Source organism: Homo sapiens, chromosome 6, assembly GCF_000001405.40.
Source record: "Homo sapiens chromosome 6, GRCh38.p14 Primary Assembly".
Classification (NCBI taxonomy): domain Eukaryota; kingdom Metazoa; phylum Chordata; class Mammalia; order Primates; family Hominidae; genus Homo; species Homo sapiens.
The window spans coordinates 68,592,984-68,615,199 of NC_000006.12; positions in this window are offsets into that span (position 1 = coordinate 68,592,984).

Here is a 22,216-nt window from a genome sequence, read left to right on the forward strand (position 1 = left end):
GCATCTGTAGAGAAAATCATGTGGTTTTTATTTTTAGTTCTGTTTATGTGATGAATTACATTTATTGATTTGCATATGTTGAGCCAACCATGCATTCCAGGTATAAAGCCTACTTGATTGTACTGAATTAGCTTTTTGATGTGCTGTTGGATTCAGTTTGCTAGTATTCTGTTAAGAAATTTTGCATATATGTTTCTCAGGAATACTGGCCTGAAGTTTTCCTTTTTGGTTGTGACTTTGCCAGGTTTTGGTATCAGAATAATGCTGCTTACATAGAATGAGTTAGGGAGGAGTTCCCCTTTCTTAATTTTTGGAATAATTTCAGTAGGCTTAGTACCAGTTATTTTTTATATGTCTGGTAGAGTTTGGCTCTGAATCCATATGTCCCAGGGATTTTCTGGTTCATCACTAATTCAATTTTAGAACTAGTTATTAGTCCATACAGGGTTTTAATTTCTCATTTTTGTAAATTGATTTTGTATCCTGAAACATTACTGAAGTTATTTATCAGATCTATGAGCTTTTAGGAAGAAACTAAGGAGTTTTATAGCTATAAAATCATATATTTGGCAAAGATAGATAGTTTAACTTCCTCTCAATCTTGGAAGGTTTAATCTTGGGATTGAATCTTGATTCAGTCTTGAGAGGTTGCATGTTTCCAGGAATTTATTCATTTCTTCTAGGTTTTCTAGTTTCTGTTCAAAGAAGTGTTTGTAATAGCCTCTGAGGATTTTTTTGTTTTTATTTTTGTTTTTGGTATTTTTGTGATGATGTCACCTTTATCAATTCTAATTGTTTTTATTTGGATCTTCTTTTTTTTCTTTATCAATTTAGCTAGCAATTTATCAAACTTATTTATTCTTTGGGAGAAACAACTTTTGGTTTTCTTGATCCGTTATATGTTTTTTCTCATCTTAATTTGATTCAGTTCAGCTCAGCTCTGATTTCAGTTATTCACTTTTTTCTGATAGCTGTGAAGTACTTTGGTTTGACTTATTTTTCTAGTTCCTCTAGGTGAGATATTAGATTCTTAATTTGAGATACTTCTTAACTTTTTGATATGGGCACTTAACACTATAAACTTTCCTCTTAACACTGCCTTAGCTGGGTCCCAGAGATTCTGATATCTTGTATCTTTGTTTTCATTAGTTTCAAATAATTTATTGATTTCAGACTTAATTTTATTATTTACACAGAAATCATTCAGGAGCTGGTTTTGTAATTTCCATGTAATCCTATGGTTTTGAGTATCTTCTTAGTATTGATTTTTATTTTTATTGCACTGTGGTCCAAGACTGTAGTTGGTATAATTTTATTTTTTTTAATTTGTTGAGAACTGTTTTATGGCTGATCATGTGGTTGATTTTAGGTTATGTGTCACATGCAGAAGACAAGAATATGTATTGTTGTTGTTGGGTGGAGTGTTCTGTAGGTATCTGTTAGGACCATTTGGTCAAGTGTCAAGTTCATGTCCTAAATATCTTTGTTAGATTTCTGCCTTGATGATCTGTCTAGTATTGTCAGCATGGTGTTGAAGTCTTCTACTATTATTGTGTGGTTATCTAAATACCTTTGTAGGTCTCTAAGAACTTGCTTTATGAATCTGGTGCTCCTGTGTTGGGTGCATATACATTTAGGATTGTTAAGTCTTTTTTTTTATTTATTATTATACTTTAAGTTCTGGGGTACATGTGCACAACGTGCAGGTTTGTTACATAGGTATACATGTGCTATGTTGGTTTCCTGTGCCCATCAACTCATCATTTACATTAGGTATGTCTCCTAATGCTATCCCTCCCCCAGCCCTCCACCCCCTTACAGGCCCTGGTGTGTGATGTTCCCCTCCCTGTGTCCATGTATTCTCATTGTTCAACTCTCACTTATGAGTGAGAACATGTGGTGTTTGGTTTTCTGTTCTTGTGTTACTTTGCTGAGAATGATGGTTTCCAGTTTCATCCATGTCCCTACAAAGGACATGAACTCATCCTTTTTTGTGGATGCATAGTATTTCATGGTGTATATGTGTCATTTTCTTTATCCAGTCTATCATTGATGGGCATTTGGGTTGATTCCAAGACTTTGCTACTGTGAACAGTGCTGCAATAAACATACGTGTGCATGTGTCTTTATAGTAGAATGATTTTTAATCCTTTGGGTATATACCCAGTAACAGTATTGCTGAGTCAAATGGTATTTCTATTTCTAGATCCTTGAGGAGTCGCCACACTGTCTTCCACGATGGTTGAACTAATTTACACTCCCACCAACAGTGTAAAAGTGTTCCTATTTCTCCACATCTTCTCCAGCATCTGTTGTTTCCTGACTTTTTTTTTTTTTTTTTTTTTTCTGAGATGGAGTCTTGCTCTGTCACCCAGGCTGGAGTGCAGTGGCACAATCTCAGCTCACTGCAAGCTCTGCCTCCCAGGTTCATGCCATTCTCCTGCCTCAGCTTCCCGAGTAGCTGGAACTGCAGGCACCCACCACCGTGCCCGGCTAATTTTTTTGTATTTTTAGTAGAGACGGGGTTTCACCATGGTCTCAATCTCCTGACCTTGTGATCCGCCCGCCTCGGCCTCCCAAAGTGCTAAGATTACAGGCATGAGCCACTGTGCCCGGCCTTTCCTGACTTTTTAATGATGCCCATTCTAACTGGTGTGAGATGGTGTCTCATTGTGGTTTTGATTTGCATTTCTCTAATGATCAGAGATGATGAGCTTTTTTTCACACGTTTGTTGGCTGTATAAATGTCTTCTTTTGAGAAGTGTCTGTTCATATCCTTTGCCCACTTTTTGATGGGGTTGTTTGCTTTTTTCTTATGAATTTGTTTAAGGTTCTTTGTAGATTCTGGATATTAGCCTTTTGTCAGATGGATAGATTGCAAAAATTTTCTCCCATTCTGTAGGTTGCCTGTTCACTCTGCTGATAGTTTGTTTTGCTGTGCAGAAGCTCTTTAGTTTAATTAGATCCCATTTGTCTATTTGGGCTTTTGTTGCCATTACTTTTGCTGTTTTAGTCATGAGGTATTTGCCCATGCCTATGTCCTAAATGGTATTGCTTAGGTTTTCTTCTAGGGTTTTTATGGTTGTAGGTCTTACATTTAAGTCTTTGATCCACTTTGAGTTAATTTTTGTGTAAGGCGTAAGGAAGGGATACGGTTTCAGCTTTCTGCTTATGGCTAGCCAGTTTTCTCAACACCATTTATTAAATAGGGAATCTTTTCCCCAGTGCTTGTTTTTGTCAGGTTTGTCAAAGATCAGATGGTTGTAGGTGTGTGGTGTTATTTCTGAGATCTCTGTTCTGTTGCATTGGTCTGTATCTCTGTTTTGGTACCAGTACCATGCTGTTTTGGTTACTGAAGCCTCGTAGTATAGTTTGAAGTCAGTTAGTGTGATGCCTCCAGATTTGTTCTTTTTGCTTAAGATTGTCTTGAATATATAGGCTCTTCATCCCCATCAAGCTACCACTGACTTTCTTCACAGAATTGGAAAAAACTACTTTAAATTTCATATGTTAAGTCTTTTTACATTGAACCCTTTATCATTATGTAATGTCCTTCTTTGTCTTTTTTGATCATTGTTGTTTCAAAGTCTGTTTTGTTTGAAATTAGTATAGAAACACCTGCTCTTTTTTGTTTTCCATTTGCCAGGTAGATTTTTCTCCATCCCTTTAGTTTGAGTCTATGGGCTTCATTGCATGTGACATGAGTCTCTTGAAGACAACATAGAGTTGGGTCTTGGTTCGTTATCCAGCTTGCGACTCTGTGACTTTTAAGTGGGGCATTTAGCCCATTAATGTTCAAAGTTGGTGTGGATTTGGCCCTGTCATTATTTTTTTAGCTGGTTATTTTGCAGACTTGATTGTATATTTGCTTTATGGGGTCAATGGCTTATGTACTTAAGTGTGTTTTTGTGGTAGCTAACAGTGGTCTTTCATTTCCATGTTTAGCACTCCATTATGGACCTCTTATAAGGCATGTCCAGTGGTAATAAATTTCCTTAGCATTTCTTTGTCTGAAAAAGGTCTGATTTCTCCTTCACTTTTGAAGATTAGTTTGGCTGGATGTGAAATTCTTGGTTGGAATTTCTCTTTTTTAAGAATGTTGACTATAGACCCTCAATCTCTTCTAGTTTGTGCTGTTTTTGGTGAAAGGTACACTGTTAGTCTAATGGAATTCTGTTTGTAGGTGATGTGCCTCTTCTCTCTAACAGCTTTTAATACATTTTTTCTTTAACATGGACCTTGGAGATGACCATGTGTCTTGAAGATGGTCATCTTGTATAGTATCTCTGCATTTCCTGAATTTGAAAGTCAGCCTCTTTATTGAGGTTGGGGAAATTTTTGTGGACAGTATCCTCAAATATGTTTTACAAGTTTCTTGCTTTTTGTTCCTCTATTTCAGGAACATCAATGAGTCCTAAGTTTGGTCTCTTTACATAAACTCACATTTCTTGGAGGTTTTGTTCATTCTTTTTAATTCTTTGCTTTTTATTCTGACTCGGTTCATTAAAAGAACTGGACTTCAAGCTCTGAGATTCTTTCCTCAACATGTTCTATTCTGTTGTTAATCCTTCTGATTGTCTAATGAAATTCTTGTAGTGAGCTTTCAATGTATCAGTTCAGTCTGGTTCTTTCTTAAAATTACTATTTAATCTTTCGGCTTTTGTACTGTTTTACTGGATTTCTTAAATCCCTTGGATTGAGTTTTGAAATTCTCCTGAATCTCGATGATCTTCCTTCTTATTTATATTCTAAATTCTACACATGTTTTTTCAGCCATTTCTGTCTGGTTAAAAACCATTGCTGGGGAAATAGTATGGTCACTTGTAGGTAAGAAGACACTCTGGCTTTTTGAGTTGTCAGCATTATTATCTTGTTTCTTTCTTATTGTGGGGTGTGGGGGAGTGGGGCTGATGTTATTTTAATCTTTGAAGTAGCTGTTCTTTCTATAGGGTTTTTGATTTTATATTTTTTCACGACCTTGATGGGTTAACTGTGTTATAAGGTGGGTTCAGATGACAGGCTTCATTTCTGGAAGAGTGCAGGAGTCCAAGGCTCGGTTCAGCACTCCTGGGTTACATATTCTAATCCTACAGGGCTGGTACTATGCCCACGGCTTTGTTCTCCGGACACTTGTGGTTAAACACCTGCTGCCCTATAGTGGCTAGTGTTTTTCTGTTCCACTGGCAACAACATTCCAATAGGGAGGTGTTCCCACTTTTTGCTTTAGATTTCTTCCAAGATTATTGAAATGACCTTCAACATTCTGGTCTTCTCATTCATTTCTTATAGAAACCATGTTCCTGAAGTTTTTCTGCATCACATCTCTATAGAGAATCTTCTGAGAAAAATTAATCAAATACTAGTCCTCCTCACCAAAGTTCACTGCCGCAACTTCAAAGTCCACTGAGTCCTCAATGTCCTTGCAGAAGTTCCAGAAATTAGGATCCCTGGGAACCATTTTGGCAAGTCCCTCCCATGCTTCCTCTGCAAAGAACTGCAGGGCACAGGGCAATGGAGGCTGTGGCAGAACCACTTGGGCCTCCCAAACTGAAGAAGAAGAAGGAGCAGTGGAAACTGACCAAGCAATAGAATTCTGAATATTTTCAATCTGCAATTGGTTGAAACCATAGATGTGGAAACCACAATCTGCAATTGGTTGAAAAAACAGATATGGAAATCATGGTTACAGAGGGCCAACTCTACCAAAAGGATATCAGTATGTCAAAGAAATGTCTCCTTTTATATGTTCATTGCAACATTATTCACAATAGCCAAGGTATGGAAATAACCAAGGCTCCCATCAAGGATGAATAAATGTAAAACTGTGGCATTTATGTGCAATGTAAAGAACATTAAATTAGCCTTTAAAAAGAGTAAAATTCTGTCATTTCCAACAACATGGATGAACCTGAAGGACATTATATTAAGGTAAATATACAGTGTGCAGAAAGACAAGTACTGCATGATCTCACTTGTCTGTGAAATCTTAAAATGTTGAGTCATGAAAGTATAAAGTAGAATAGTAGTTAACAGAAGTGGTGATGGGGAGTGAATGGAAGGCACAGACAGAGAAAGGGGGCAAAGGTTCAGTTAGAAGAAAAAATTTCTAGTGATCTATTGCATAGCTGGTGACTATAGTTAATAATAATATATTACATATTTTAAACTTGTGAAAAGAGTAGATTGTAAATATTCTCACCACAAAAAACGATGGATATTTGAGGTGACAGATATGTTAATTCACCTAACTTGATCAATCTACAATGTATGTGTTATTTCAATATCACATTGTACCCCATAAATATATATAATTATTATCTGTCAAATAAAATCAAGCAATTAAAAAAAAAAGAAGCCAGAGGAAATGAATACATATATTGGCATAGTTCAGAACCAAGGCTCTCTATGTGAGAGAAAGACATAGATAAGGGATGTAGGAAAGAAAGAAGCCTGTGAATGGTTTTGGACTTTGAAATTCCAACATGAATACAAGGCTTTCTTAGCTCTGATCACTGAAAGGGCCTAGAAGCAATACCAATGAACATTCAGTGCCCATGTTTTGGTTACCTATCACTAAACAGGAGGACAAGAGGAAAATTACTTGAGAAATGGTAGAGTCCCGGACTGGTTTCTGAAAAGTGCAAGTTAAAGTAAGCCCGGAATACATTTTGGGCATGTAGTAGCAAGGAAATACTCTAAACCTGAAGAGGAAATATCACAGGACCAGAAGACAGCTTAAAGGAGTTTCTTCTGATGGCCCAATCTAAAGCATCAAAAATAATAATTATATCAATGAAATATTACAAACTGAATGTGTGTGTATGTACATGCTTATATGCAGACATTTGTGCAAGTGCTTGTGTGTGTGTGTGTTTTAGGAAAAGCTGTTTTTCTAAAAAAGAATCATGTATAATTAATGTAGAAGGAATGATGGATTAAAAATTATCTCTTGGAAATCACAGAAGTAATCATTGATGTAGAAAGAAATCATCAGCTGATGCAAAAACTAATTGTTGGGAAACAAGATATTCACATAGTCTCCATGATTTCTTATTAATATATTATTTATTAAAAATACAAAAAGATATGTCAACAATCAAGAAATCTGCCAGATGCCTCATTCAAGCCTTCGAAATTAAAAACTTCCAATATTAGAACACATCGACACTTTCTGCTGCCTCCAATGACACTGAGAAAGACACATCACCTGTTTAATTTTATTCCCCAAAATATTTAACTTGATATGATAATAAAATGTAATGACGAGGTACTATGATGGTTAATATTGAGTGTCAACTAGATTGGATTGAAGAATGCAAAGTATTGAGTGAGTCTGTAAGGGTGTTTTCTTTTTTTTTTTTTAGTTTTTTTTTTTAATTATACTTTAAGTTTTATGGTACATGTGCACAATGTGCAGGTTAGTTACATATGTATACATGTGCCATGCTGGTGGGCTGCACCCATTAACTCGTCATTTAGCATTAGGTGTATCTCCTAATGCTATCCCTCCCCACTCGCCCCACCCCACAACAGTCCCCAGAGTGTGATGTTCCCCTTCCTGTGTCCATGTGTTCTCATTGTTCAATTACCATCTATGAGTGAGAACATGCAGTGTTTGGTTTTTTGTCCTTGCAATAGTTTGCTGAGAATGATGGTTTCCAGCGTCATCTATGTCCCTACAAAGGACATGAACTCATCATTTTCTATGGCTGCATAGTATTCCATGGTGTATATGTGCCACATTTTCTTAATCCAGTCTATCATTGTTGGACATTTGGGTTGGTTCCAAGTCTTAGCTATTGTGAATAGTGCCACAATAAACATACGTGTGCATGTGTCTTTATAGCAGCATGATTTATAGTCCTTTGGGTATATACCCAGTAATGGGATGGCTGGGTCAAATGGTATTTCTAGTTCTAGATCCCTGAGGAATCGCCACACAGACTTCCACAATGGTTGAACTAGTTTACAGTCCCACCAACAGTGTAAAAGTGTTCCTATTTCTCCACATCCTCTCCAGCACCTGTTGTTTCCTGACTTTTTAATGATTGCCATTCTAACTGGTGTGAGATGGTATGTGATTGTGGTTTTGATTTGCATTTCTCTGATGGCCAGTGATGATGAGCGTTTCTTCATGTGTCTTTTGTCTGCATAAATGTCTTCTTTTGAGAAGTGTCTGTTCATATCTTTGCCCACTTTTTGATGGGGTTGTTTGTTTTTTTTCTTGTAAATTTGTTTGAGTTCATTGTAGATTCTGGATATTAGCCCTTTGTCAGATGAGTAGGTTGCAGAAATTTTCTCCCATTTTGTGGGTTGCCTGTTCACTCTGATGGTAGTTTCTTTTGCTGTGCAGAAGCTCTTTAGTTTAATTAGATCCCATTTGTCAATTTTGTCTTTTGTTGCCATTGCTTTTGGTGTTTTAGACATGAAGCCCTTGCCCATGCCTATGACCTGAATGGTAATGCCTAGGTTTTCTTCTAGGGTTTTTATGGTTTTAGGTCTAACGTTTAAGTCTTTAATCCATCTTGAATTAATTTTTGTATAAGGTGTAAGGAAGGGATCCAGTTTCTGAATTAATTTTTGTATAAGGTATAAGGAAGGGATCCAGTTTCAGCTTTCTACATATGGCTATCTAGTTTTCCCAGCACCATTTATTAAATAGGGAATCCTTTCCCCATTGCTTGTTTTTGTCAAGTTTGTCAAAGATCAGATAGTTGTAGATATGCGGCGTTATTTCTGAGTGCTCTGTTCTGTTCCATTGATGTATATCTCTGTTTTGGTACCAGTGCCATGCTGTTTTGGTTACTGTAGCCTTGTAGTATAGTTTGAAGTCAGGTAGCGTGATGCCTCCAGCTTTGTTCTTTTGGCTTAGGATTGACTTGGTGATGCAGGCTCTTTTTTGGTTCCATATGAACTTTAAAGTAGTTTTTTCCAATTCTGTGAAGAAAGTCATTGGTAGCTTGATGGGGATGGCATTGAATCTATAAATTACCTTGGGCAGTATGGCCATTTTCACGATATTGATTCTTCCTACCCATGAGCATGGAATTTTCTTCCATTTGTTTGTATCCTCTTTTATTTCGTTGAGCAGTGGTTTGTAGTTCTCCTTGAAGAGGTCCTACACGTCCCTTGTAAGTTGGATTCCTAGGTATTTTATTCTCTTTGAAGCAATTGTGAATGGAAGTTCACTCATGATTTGGCTCTCTGTTTGTCTGTTATTGGTGTATAAGAATGCTTGTGATTTTTGTACATTGATTTTGTATCCTGAGACTGCTGAAGTTGCTTATCAGCTTAAGGAGATTTTGGGCTGAGACGATGGGGTTTTCTAGATATACAATCATGTCGTCTGCAAACAGGGACAATTTGACTTCCTCTTTTCCTAATTGAATACCTTTATTTCCTTCTCCTGCTTAATTGCCCTGGCCAGAACTTCCAACACTATGTTGAATAGCTTACCAACCAAAAAGAGTCCAGGACCAGATGGATTCACAGCTGAATTCTACCAGAGGTACAAGGAGGAACTGGTACCATTCCTTCTGAAACTATTCCAATCAATAGAAAAAGAGGGAATCCTCCCTAACTCATTTTATGAGGCCAGCATCATCCTGATACCAAAGCCAGGCAGAGACACAACCAAATAGACCAATATCCTTGATTAACATTGATGCAAAAATCCTCAATAAAATACTGGCAAACCAAATCCAGCAGCACATCAAAAAACTTATCCACCATGATTAAGTGGGCTTCATCCCTGGGATGCAAGGCTGGTTCAATATACGCAAATCAATAAATGTAATCCAGCATATAAACAGAACCAAAGACAAAAACCACATGATTATCTCAATAGATGCAGAAAAGGCCTTTGACAAAAGTCAACAACCCTTCATGCTAAAAACTCTCAATAAATTAGGTATTGATGGGATGTATCTCAAAATCATAAGAGCTATCTATGACAAACCCACAGCCAATATCATACTGAACGGGCAAAAACTGGAAGCATTCCCTTTGAAAACTGGCACAAGACAGGGATGCCCTCTCTCACCACTCCTATTCAACATAGTGTGAGGGTGTTTTCAAAGGTGATTAACATTTCCGTCAATGGGCTGGGAAGGCAGATCCATCCTTAACTTGGGTGGGCACTATCTAATCAGCTGCTAGTGAGGCCAGGATACAAAGCAGGCAGAAAAAAAAATGTAAAAGCCGCAGTCTAGGAGGCTAGACTGGCTTAGCCTCCTAGCTTACATCTTGCTCCCGTGCTGGATGCTTCCTGCCCTCAAACACCAGACTCCAAGTTCTTCAGCTTTGGGACTGAGACTGGATTCCTTGCTCTTCAGTTTGCAGACAGCCTGTTGTGGCACCTTTTAATCATGTGAGTTAATACTGCTTAATAAATTCCGCTTGAAACTGTATATGTGTGTGTATATATATGTATACATACCATATATACAGAGGAAATATATATAAAGGATAAATATGATATATAAAGGATAAATATGATATATATATCCTATTAGTTCTGTTCCTCTAGAGAACCCTCACTAATACAGATTTTGGGAGCAGGAGTGGTTCTAGAGGAACAGAATATTAAGGATGGAGTATTTTCATTGGTTTTGGGGTTTCTGGAGTTGGCTGCTTAATATGATTAGACCCAAAAAAAGCTAAGGACTCTACTTCCAATAGCATGGAGAACACTGATAGTCCTTGGCATGAACTGTTTAAAGAGTTATGCAAAATAAATGCATTTGACAGTCTTGATTCACTGCTCATGAGAGGCAAGGAGTTTTGTGACTCTATACATAATACCTTTGACTTTACGTGGAAAGCCAAGGAACATAATGAAGTTGGTTGGTTGCTCCTAAGTTCACTGGACAAAGTGAGGAAAGAAAATTATGAACTCAGGGATTCTATCTCCTGGCTTCAGAAGCAGATACTGAGCCTCAAATCTGCTAAGATTGCCCTGAGGGAAAGTCTTATCACCTGTAGAGAAAGAGCTGAAATTGTGAAAAAAAAAAACAGACACAAGCTCTTATCGTGTGAGTGGCTAACCTGCAAGAAAAGGTGCATGCTCAGCCTCATCAGTTGTCTACTATTAAAGTGAAGGCATTGATTGGAAAAGAATGGGACCCTGCAACTTGGAATGGGGATGTGTGGGAGGGCCCTGATGAAGCTGTGGACACTGAGCTTGTAAATTCTGATGAAACTTATTTTTGCCAGAAGAAACAGCTTTCCCATGCCTAGTAGTAGCAACCACCCCTCCCAGACCTATGCTGCCATCAGCTTTTCCACCTTTGTCTGAGGGTATAAACCCTGTGCTGCCCGAGACAACAGTGGTGGCCTCCCCTGAGGCAGTTGCCAGGCAAGACAATGTTGATTCTCCACAGGACCCACCCCCAACAGCCCTGTTTGCTTCTAGACCTATAACTAGACTAAAGTCCCAAATTTAATGTTGCAGCTTGAGGAGTTAAAAAAATGTCCTAATAGTTTATTTGCTTGTCTAGCTGAAATATGGATTAAATGGTGTCTCACTGCGAGTGAGCTTAAAATGCCTGATTTCCCTTGCTTTAATGTAGAGAAAGGGATGCAAAGGCTTAGGGATGTTGGGACATTGGAGTGGATTAGTCACTTTAGACCTATTCATCCCAGCTGGGAGGGTCCAGATGATATACCCTTGACCAGTGCTTTGCAAAATAGATTTGTGAGGGCAACACCTGCATTTTTGAAGAGCCCTGTAATTGCTTTTATCTGTGCGTCAGATCCAACCATGGGGACCACGGTCACACAACTACAAAATTTAAATACAATGGGGCTGGTCAAGGTAGCTTATGCCTATAATCTCAGCAGTTTGGGAGGATGAGGTGGGCAGATCATTTAAGATCAGGAGTTTGAGACCAGCCTGGCAATATGGTGAAACCTCATTTCTACTAAAAATACAAAAATTAGCCAGCCATGGTGGTGGGTGCCTATAATCCCAGCTACTTGGGAGGCTGAGGCAGGAGAATCACTTGAACCTGGGAGATGGAGTGCAAGTTGCAGTGATCCGAGATCACACCACTCCACTCAAGCCTGGGTGACAGATTGAGACTTTGTCTCAAAAACAATAATAATAATAATAATAATAATAATAATAAATAAATACATACAATGGGAATAATTGGATTCCTAGGTGGCAGGGGCCAAGTGGCGTCACTCAACAGTCAACGGCAAGGTGGTTGTAGCTACCATAATGGACAGCATAGGCAAAGCAGCAATCAGAATGGTTTGACTCTTGTAGAGCTCTGGCATTGACTAATTAATCATGGTGTTCCTAGAAGTGAAATTGATAGGATGCCTGTTGCATTTCTACTTAATTTATATAAGCAGAAAACTTTCAGGTTGAATGGAAAAAAAGACTAATTTGAATTATAAAACAGAGTATAATGGCCTCTCAGTCAGTTTCCAGACTTTAGCCAGTTTACAGACCCAGAACCCCTTGAATGAAGGGGAGGCCGGGGTCCTCTTGAGGAAGGACCCCCTATAGTACCGACAATTTATGCTGTTAATCTTTCTTCCTTCCCCAAGAAGACCTCCAGCCTTTTACCAGGGTAACTGTGCACTGGGAAAAGGGAAATGATCAGACATTATGGGGACTGCCATACACTGGCTATGAGCTGACATTGATTTCAAGGGACCCAAAACATCACTGTGGTCCTCCAGTTAAAATTGGGCTTATGGAGGTCAGGTAATTAATGGAGTTTTAGCTCAGGTCCAACTTACAGTGGGTCCAGTGGGTCCCAGACTCATCTTATGGTCATTTCCTCAGTGCCAGAATGCATAATTAGCATAGAAATACTTAGCAGGTGGCAGAACCCCCACATTGACCCCTTGACTGGTAGAGTGAGGGCTATTATGGTGGGAAAGGCCAAATAGAAGCCATCAGAGCTGCCTCTACCTGGAAAACTAGTAAATCAAAAGCAAGATTGCATCCCTGGAGGGATTGTGGAGATTAGTGCCACCATCAACGACTTTAAAGACACAAGGGTGGTGAGTTCAACCACATCCCCATTCAACTCTCCTATTTGGCCTGTACAGAAGAGAGATGGATCTTGGAGAATGTCAGAGGACTATCATAAGCTTAACCAAGTTGTGACTCCAACTGCAGCTGCTATATGAGATGTGGTTTCATTGCTTGAGCAAATTAACACATTTCCTGGTACCTGGTATGCAGCCATTGACTTAACAAATGCCTTTTCCTCCATTCCTGACCATAAGGCCTGCCAGAAGCAATTTGCCTTCTGCTAGCAAGGCCAGCAATGTACCTTTACTGTCCTACCTCAGGGGTGTATCAACTCTCCAGCTTTGTGTCACAATCTTATTCAGAGAGGCCTTGGTTGCTTTTCACTTCCGCAAGATATCAAGCTGATCCATTACATTGATGACATTATGCTGACTGGATCATTGAGCAAGAAGTAGCAAACACACTGGACTGACTGGTGAGACATTTGTGTGCCAGAGGATAGGAAATAAATTTGACTAAAATTCAGGGACCCTCTACTTCAGCAAAATTTTTAGGGGTCCAGTGGTGTAGGGCCTGTTAAGAGATTTCTTCTAAGGTGAAGGATAAGTTGCTGCATTTGGTCCCTCCTACAACCAAGAAAAAGGTACAATGCCTACTGGGCCTATTTGGTTTTTGGAGGCAACATACTCCTCATTTGGTTGTGTTACTCTAGCCTGTTTATCAAGTGAACTGAAAGGCTTCCAGTTTTGAATGGGGTCCAGAATGAGAGAAGGCTCCACCACATGTCCAGGCTGCTATGCAAGCTGCTCTGTCACTGGGGTCATATGACCCAGCAGATCCAATGGTGTGTGAGGTGTCAGTGGCAGATAAGGATGCTGTTTGGAGCCTTTGGCAGGCCCCCCATAGGTGAATCACAGCGGCGGCCTCTAGGATTTTGAAGCATGGCCCTGCCATCTTCTGCAGATAACTACTCTGCTTTTGAAAGACAGCTCCCGGCCTGTTACTGGGCTTTGATTGAAACTGAATATTTGAATATGGGTCATCAAGCCACCTGAACTGCCTATCATGAACTGGGTGCTTTCTGACCAATGTAGCCATAAAGTGGGTCATGCACAGCAGCGTTCCATCATCAAATGGAAGTGGTATATACGTGATTGGGCTCGAGCAGGTCCTGAGGGCACAAGTAAGTTACATGAGGAAGTGGCTCAAATGCCCCTGGTCTCTGCGCCTGTTACCCTGCCTTCTCTTCCCCAGTCTTCACCAATGGTCTCATAGGGAGTTCCCTATGATCAGAAGGCAGAGAAAGAGAATGCTAGAGCCTGATTCACAGATGGTTCTGCACAATATGCAGGCACCACCTGAAAGTAGACAGCTGCAGCACTACAGTCCCTTTCTAGGACATCCCTGAAGGAGAGCAGCGAAGGGAAGTCTTCCCAGTGGGCAGAATGTCGAGCAGCACACTTTGCATGGGAGGAGAAATGGCCAGATGTGTGATTATACACTGATTAATGGGCTTTAGCCAATGGTTTGACTGGATGGTTAGGGACTTGGAAGAAGCATGATTGGAAAATTGATAACAAAGAAATTTGGGGAAGAGGTATGAGGATGAACTTCTCTGAGTGGTCAAAAACTATGAAGATATTCATATCCCAAGTGAGTGCTCACCAACGGGTGACCTCAGCAGAGGAGGATTTTAATAATCAAGTGGATAGGATAACTGGATCTGTGGATACCACTCAGCCTCTTTCCCCAACTACCCCTGCCATTGCCTAATGGGCCCATGAACAAAGCGGCCATAGTGGCAACTGTGGAGGTTATGCATGGGCTCAGCAACATGGACTTCCACTCACCAAGCTGAACCAGCTACGGCCACTGCTGAGTTTGCCAATTTGCTCAATTTGCCAGCACCAGAGACCAACATTGAGCCCTCGATATGACACCATTCCTTGGGGTGGTCAGCCAGCTACTTAGTGGCAGGTTGATTATATTGAACCTCTTCCATCATGGAAAGGGCAGAGGTTTGTCCTCTCTGGAATAGACACTTACTCTGGATATGAGTTTGCCTATCCTACACAAAATGCTTCTGCTAAGACTACCATCTGTGGACTCATGGGATGCCTTATCCACCATTATGGTATTCCACACAGCATTGCCTCTGACCAAGGCACTCATTTTACAGCTAAAGAAGTACAACAGTGAGCTCATGCTCATGGAATTCACTGGTCTTACCATGTTCCTCATCCTTCTGAAGAAGCTGGATAGTTAGAGCAGTGGAATAGCCTTTTGAAGTCACAATTGCAATGCCAACTAGGCGACAATACTTTGCAGGACTGGGGCAAAGTTCTCCAGAAGGCCATGTATGCTCTGAATCAACCTCCAATATATGATACTGTATCTCCCATAGCCAGGATTCACAGGTCCAGGAATCAAGGGATGAAAGTGGAAGTGGCACCATTCATGATCACCCCTAGTGATCCACTAGCAAATTTTTGCTTCCTGTTTCCATGAAATTATGTTCTACTGGCCTAGAGGTTGTAGTATCAGATGGAGGAAGGCTGCTACCAGGAGACACAACAATCATTCCATTAAACTGGAAGTTAAGATTGCCACCTGGACACTTTGGGCTCCTTCTACCTTTAAGTCAACAGGCTAAGAAAGGAATTACAGTGTTGGCTGCGGTGATTGACCCAGGCTATCAAGATGAAATCAGTCTACTACTCCACAGTGGAGGTAAGGAAGAGTACTCATGGAATACAGGAGATCCCTTAGGGTTGCTCTTAGTATTACCATGCCCTGTGATTAAGGTCAATGGGAAACTACAACAGCCCAATCTAGGCAGGGCTACAAATGACCCAGACCCTTCAGGAATGAAGATTTGGGTCACTCCACCAGGAAAAAAAAACCACAACCTGCTTGCTAAAGGCAAAGGGAATACAGAACAGGTGGTAGAAGGTAGTAATCAATACCAGCTATGACCACGTGACCAGCTGCAGAAACGAGGATTATAAATGTCATGAGTATTTCCTCCTTCTTTTGTTAAAAACATGTTTGTGCATGTATACACTTGTACTTAAAACAGCTTCATTTTATTTTCTTCTTCCTTTATCATGTGACATAAGATTTATTTATTTCACTTCAGCACTTAAGTATTGTTAACTTTATGGAATAGCATTTGATTGGGGATTGGTGCATTTCTGGTTGTACAAAGGAGAGTTGTATTAAGTTTGATGTAATTATGACATTATTGTCTTTATTTGAAGGTGATGTATGATCTCTGGAGATGTGCATGGGTTCAAGTTGACAAGAGGCAGACTTGTAATGGTTAATACTGAGTGTCAACTTGATTGGATTGAAGGATGCAAAGTATTGATCCTGACTGTGTCTGTGAGGGTACTGTCAAAGGTGATTAACATTTTAGTCAGTGGGCTGGGGGAGGCTGACCCATCCTTAAATCTGCACGGGAACCATCTAATCAGCTGCCAGTGAGGCTAGGATATAAAGCAGGCAAAAAAAAAAAAAAAATGTGAAAAGGCTAGACTGGCTTAGCCTCCCAGCCTACATCTTTCTCCTGTGCTGGATGCTTCCTGCCCTTGAACATCAGTCTCCAAGTTCCTCAGCTTTGGGACTCGAACTGGCTTCCTTGCTCCTTAGCTTGTAGACAGCCTATTGTGGGAATTTGTGATCGTTTGAATTAATAATACTTAATAAATTCCTTTATATCCTATTAGTTCTTTCCCTCTAGAGAAGCCTAATACAGGTCGTATTCAGACAAATTCAAGTATCAGACAAATGGTCTGAAATTTTTGAAAAATATCAACACCAACATCATGAAAGGCATAAATGGAAGGGAGTGGCTCTTCCAGATAAAAGGAGACTACACCTAAATTCTATGCTTTATATATCACTGAAGTCTGAATGTTTTATAAAAGTTATGAAGAACATTATTAGGAAATTTAATTTTTTCTCAAAATAAACTATATCTTACTGTATTATTATTAATTTCTTTTGGTTATTGTGGTGGAGTTATAGGACTACATTTCTCACCACTACTAAGTATTTTATGTTGTGTTTGTGAATTATTACAGTTCTGTCATTTTCTCAATGTGATCAATAAGCAAGCATTTATTTAGGGCCACAAGGGGATTCTGGGGCTTAATGACAAATCACAATAATTCAGAATTATATACCAAAAAATGGCAAATTCTATGGTATGACAAGTGCTTTTATATATATATACACACATATGCATGTCACTGGATATATGTGTGTGTGTGTGTGTGTGTGTGTGTGTGTGTGTGTGTGTATCTCACTGGAGATTCTATTAAAAGGCAGATTCTGATTTGGTGGGTTAGCAGTGGAGCCTGAGAGTCTGCATAATGTACTATGGGCCCTTGGATCGCCAGTTTAATAGCAAGGAGTACAGACTGAAAGAGCTCTAACATAAATAAATTATAAAGAATTGGAGTAGTTAAGAAAGCCTTCATAGAATAAAAGAATCTTGATATTTTTACTTTTTTCAAAAATGAAGGGGCAAGGTGTAAGACAGAAAGTTATAATAACTGTTCATTTCTTCATTCTTTACCTCGTGTATCTTCTCAGCAGCTGGCATGTAAAAGACACTATGTGCAACAGTGAGGGCAGTGTTTTGATTCATTTTAGTGTCTCTCACAGTGTTTTATATAAAAGATGAGTTCAGTGAATATATTTATTGAACCCAATTTAATTTATGGCTAGGGAATAACCTGGAAAGGGAATTAGAGAGAGAAATTATCATGATGCATTTGTGGGTTGGTAAAATAAATAGTTCCAACTCCAGAGAAGCTTAATGTGCCTGGAAGGAGAGGGTGAAAAAAGATTATGAAACGTCTTGAAACAATAACAGAGAAGTGCGCATTTTGTGTAGTTGAAGTTTTCTAAATTGCGAAATAAGATTCTAAAAATAATGTTATAGGACATTTATTCTGGCAACAAAAAACAGTCTTGATTGGAGAGGTGCAAAGTAGCCAATGGGAACCTGCAGCATAATCCAGAGCACCTGGCTCTCCTAATTTACCAGTCTTCTGGCTTCAATCATTTCCTTTGCCATTTTCTTTTTGGTCTATATCAAAGATTGAGGAAACTAAGTGTCTTCTAATTCCAGGACACTAGGTCATTAGTAAAGATGAGACCTTGGTCATCTTTTTTCTTTGTCCATATCAAAGCTCTTATATGCATAGCTGATATATTTTTAACCTTTTACAACTATCTTTTAAAATCAACTTCTTGTCTGAATTGTTGATAAAAATTCAAGCTGGGCAATTATTGAGGCTAGCCTTTTAGTTACAAACATTTAAAATCCTCCATGGGTTACATTTAAACCTGTTAGTAAATATTCACATGCAGATTGTGAATAATTTCTTCCTCTCCATGTTTGCATTTTCCTTTTCTGAACATTGTCTTTTGATGAACCAAATTGTTTTTAAGAATAATTTATCCACTTTTTATCCATACCCAATAAAATATTGGAAATTGTCTAGAGACTTTGGAAAGGAAAATACAGATCCTTCCCTAACAACCCTCAGAAGGAACCAACCTTGCCAACACCTTGATTTGAATTTGTATGCTTCAGAACTGTGAGATGATAAAGTTCTGTCTGTAAGCCACCTAGTTTGTTTTCCTTTGTTACTGCAGCCCTAGCAAACAATAAAATACAATTTGTGTGCATAAAAGAAAATAATGACCTAGAGAGATTAATTAACTCATCCAGGGGAATACATCCAATGATATCAGAACTTGTTCTCAAACTCATTTATCTCTGATTGTGAAGGCCTTGCCCTTAACCACTGTACTACATTGAAGAAGTGTAAATAGTTAATAAACACATGAAAATAAGTTAATCCTCACTAAATGATATTTTAAGAAATGATTTGTCTTAATTTCATATCAATAGAAAACTATTTAAATACTAACTACTGCTTGGTAGATGGTTTATTAAATTGATCACTATCTCTTATTGTTATTTAGAGTAGAAATTAACACAGACTCATTTATGGCATTTGATAAGTTGGCAATATAAATATATGAAAGTCCTTAGACATGTTTATCATTTTCACTCAGAAAGGACTTATTTTTAAATATCAGTAGAACTGGGTAAAAAGTTTATCACTGCAATATGGTTACTAGTACCAAAGTACTGAAAACATTCAAAATGATCACACATAGCGGAAGGTTTAAACAGATTATAGCACATTCATATGATGGAATTTTATGTGGCCATTAAAATGAAGATGTAGAAAAAAGTTTTTAAAGAAATACCAAATATATATATTTTTAAATGTTATTGGTAGAAAGTTTTAATTTTCATGAAAGAAGTGAGAAATATATAGTAAGATTTAACAGATGTTAAATTTTACAGTTTGAAATTTTCTAAATTGGGGAATAAGATTTTAAAAGTAATGTTTTAGGACAATTATTTATTTATTATTTAGTCTCAAAGATTATTATATCAAAAAATAACACTCAACGGATAGCTTTAAGAACATTCACACCACTCTCCTTTTTTCTGTCCTCCTTTTCTGGTGGTAAACCCTATCTTGAAACTGTTATGTTTGTTTTCTGTGTTGTATATATAAAATAATTTTGAATTTTAGGATTACATAAATGGTTTCATACTCTAGTATCAGCTTTTCTATTCAATTGCTTTCAAGTTGAAAGGCAAAATATATCACTTCAATGAAGCATTTAAATTTTCTTTTCCACTTAAGAAAGTATGTTACAAAATATATACAGGATGATACAACTGTGTACATATATTCTCATGTATTTATGCATAGGCAACAATATGAATAATTGTAAACAAAAATCTTATTTTGTTTAGTTCTGAATATTTTCTTCTTCAAACTATGAACTGTTCATATTTTTTAAAAACAAACATTCCTTGTGAAATTATATATATACATATATATGTAATTTCTGTTCACAACTCTAAAGAATCTCATTCATAAATCAAGAAATATGCAACATGAAGAAATTATTCACCCATTACTATTCTGTAGAAGAAAGTGATGCCTAAATTTTAGTCTCCAAAATAAACTTTAATTTATAAGCTGAAGTGATTTAAACATATATGAAACCTGTATCACCATATATCATCATAATTTATTTGTGGAAATAAGTTAAAAATGGGACACATTAGTCCACTAAAGAAATAGTTATAAAGAGAAACAAAATGTTCAAGTAAATATAAGGAAAGTATGGGCAAACCTAAAAAGTAATGTATAGTTAAGAGAAAATGACATTAAACATCTGACTTTATTAATAAGATAGTAAAATGTTTCAAAAGTGTCAACCCATGAACAGAGACTTGGAATAAGAAAATAAAATGATTTTAATTATCATGGTGTTTATTGAAATAAGATAGTGAGTTATCTGATAAATCCCAGAAACCTCTCATTTGTGTGGTAAAATGTAACACAATGGCCTGAGAAGAGCCTGCAACAGCTCAAGGAGTCTAGACGGCAGCTTTTAGGGCACAGAGCACAGTGGTGCCCTGGAGGACAAGGACAGTTTTTTTGTTTGTTTGGAAGCTCAGTGTTGGGCCACATAGTTCTCTCTGACTGTATCTTCCATCAACTCCCCTTTTCGTTCAAACTTTCTTGTACCAAAAACACAGTAAGCAAATGTCTATCTAGCTCATGCCTTGGCACTTATTATCTCTACCATTTCAAATACCTCTGGCTTCAGATACAAGACGGATTGAATTCCTTATGGTGAAGCAGGTTCACTGTGCCCCAGTATCAATTCCAGAGGAGGACTGTAAACACCTCACCAATACCATGGACTGGTTTTAATTCACTTGTGTGAGTTCAGTGGAACAGCACTCATACAAACAAGTTAAGTGAAGCAACTTCTCACTCACAGAGAAGTAGTAGGGGACAGTAAAAGCCTAAGACTAATGGCCAGCTGTTCAGGAAGGCTGTCCAGGGCAGATGGAGTCTTTTCTGCATGTGTCTCACATTGTGCTGCAGGTGAGAGACCCTGAAAACATTCCTCGCTGGGTTTTACACCCCAGAGTACCTTATGCATTGGGCTAAATTGTTCTGGGGGTACAGGAACAGAGCTTGGGCTCTTCCAGCCACTTCCCCTTATCTCAGGATGTTGCATCCACAGCATATTCTACAGTTATTCTACCAACTTCAAGGAAGAAAAAGGGTGGGGAGCCTGGTCAGCCAAGGTCACACAGAAACTGTCCTGCACTCACTACTTTGGGTCTCTTCTCAAAGACCACAGAGGCCTTTCTTGACCACTTGTAAAAAACAGCTGACCCCACCTTCTCCGTCACTCTCTACTCCTCTACGTGGGTTTACTCATAATCATAGCACTTAGCACCACATGGCATATGCATCTAGAGATCTGAGAACTTTTCTATTCTGTTCATTGCTGTATCACAGGACCTAAAATAATGCTTGGAACATAATGGATGCTAAACAAATATTATCAAATCAGTGGTGAATGTATAGGGTATAATAAAGGGAATGGAATTCTAAGTTAGATTTCAGTCTATTTGGAGCCTATCCATAGATCCCATGCTAAAGTGTCTCTTTTCCGAAAACAGGTATATTCTTTCCTATTAAAACATTGTATTTGGAATTTTTAATTATCTAGTAAAATAAAACAATTTAAAACATTTAAAATTTCGTATGTCTTCCAATGATCTCTAAACTATAAAAATGCAATTTGCATTTTATATTTTCAAGAGGATTTATAAATAGGACACATTTTTCCTAGTGTTAAATTACAAATTTATGAAAATATTAAATTAAGAATAATGTAGAGTCAGTGTTTATAAGAATTAGAATGTGGACAAAAACTAGCGAATGGACTGTAGTAACAGAAAAGGATGAATGACCTGGTTTACCTTCCTCAAAAGTAAATGCTATTTCAAATTATCTTATAAAAGACTTTATTATGGTATATTTTACAAATCAGTCTAAAGGACTTGTCAGCAGGAACAGGAATAATGAGTTTTCTTCAGATTACAATGAAAATATACCTAATGGAATTTACTATCTGAGGGGTCAAATAAACATAAGTTGTCAGGAGAGAAGGAAAAGGAAAGAAAGTCTCTATGTGCTATCTCTATCATGTCCATCTCAGACATTTGGCTAAAAGACAGAGTAACTTAGGCATATGTGGAACACTTGCTTGGTGATGAAATTAGGCTTCAGATTTCCAACAGTGTTG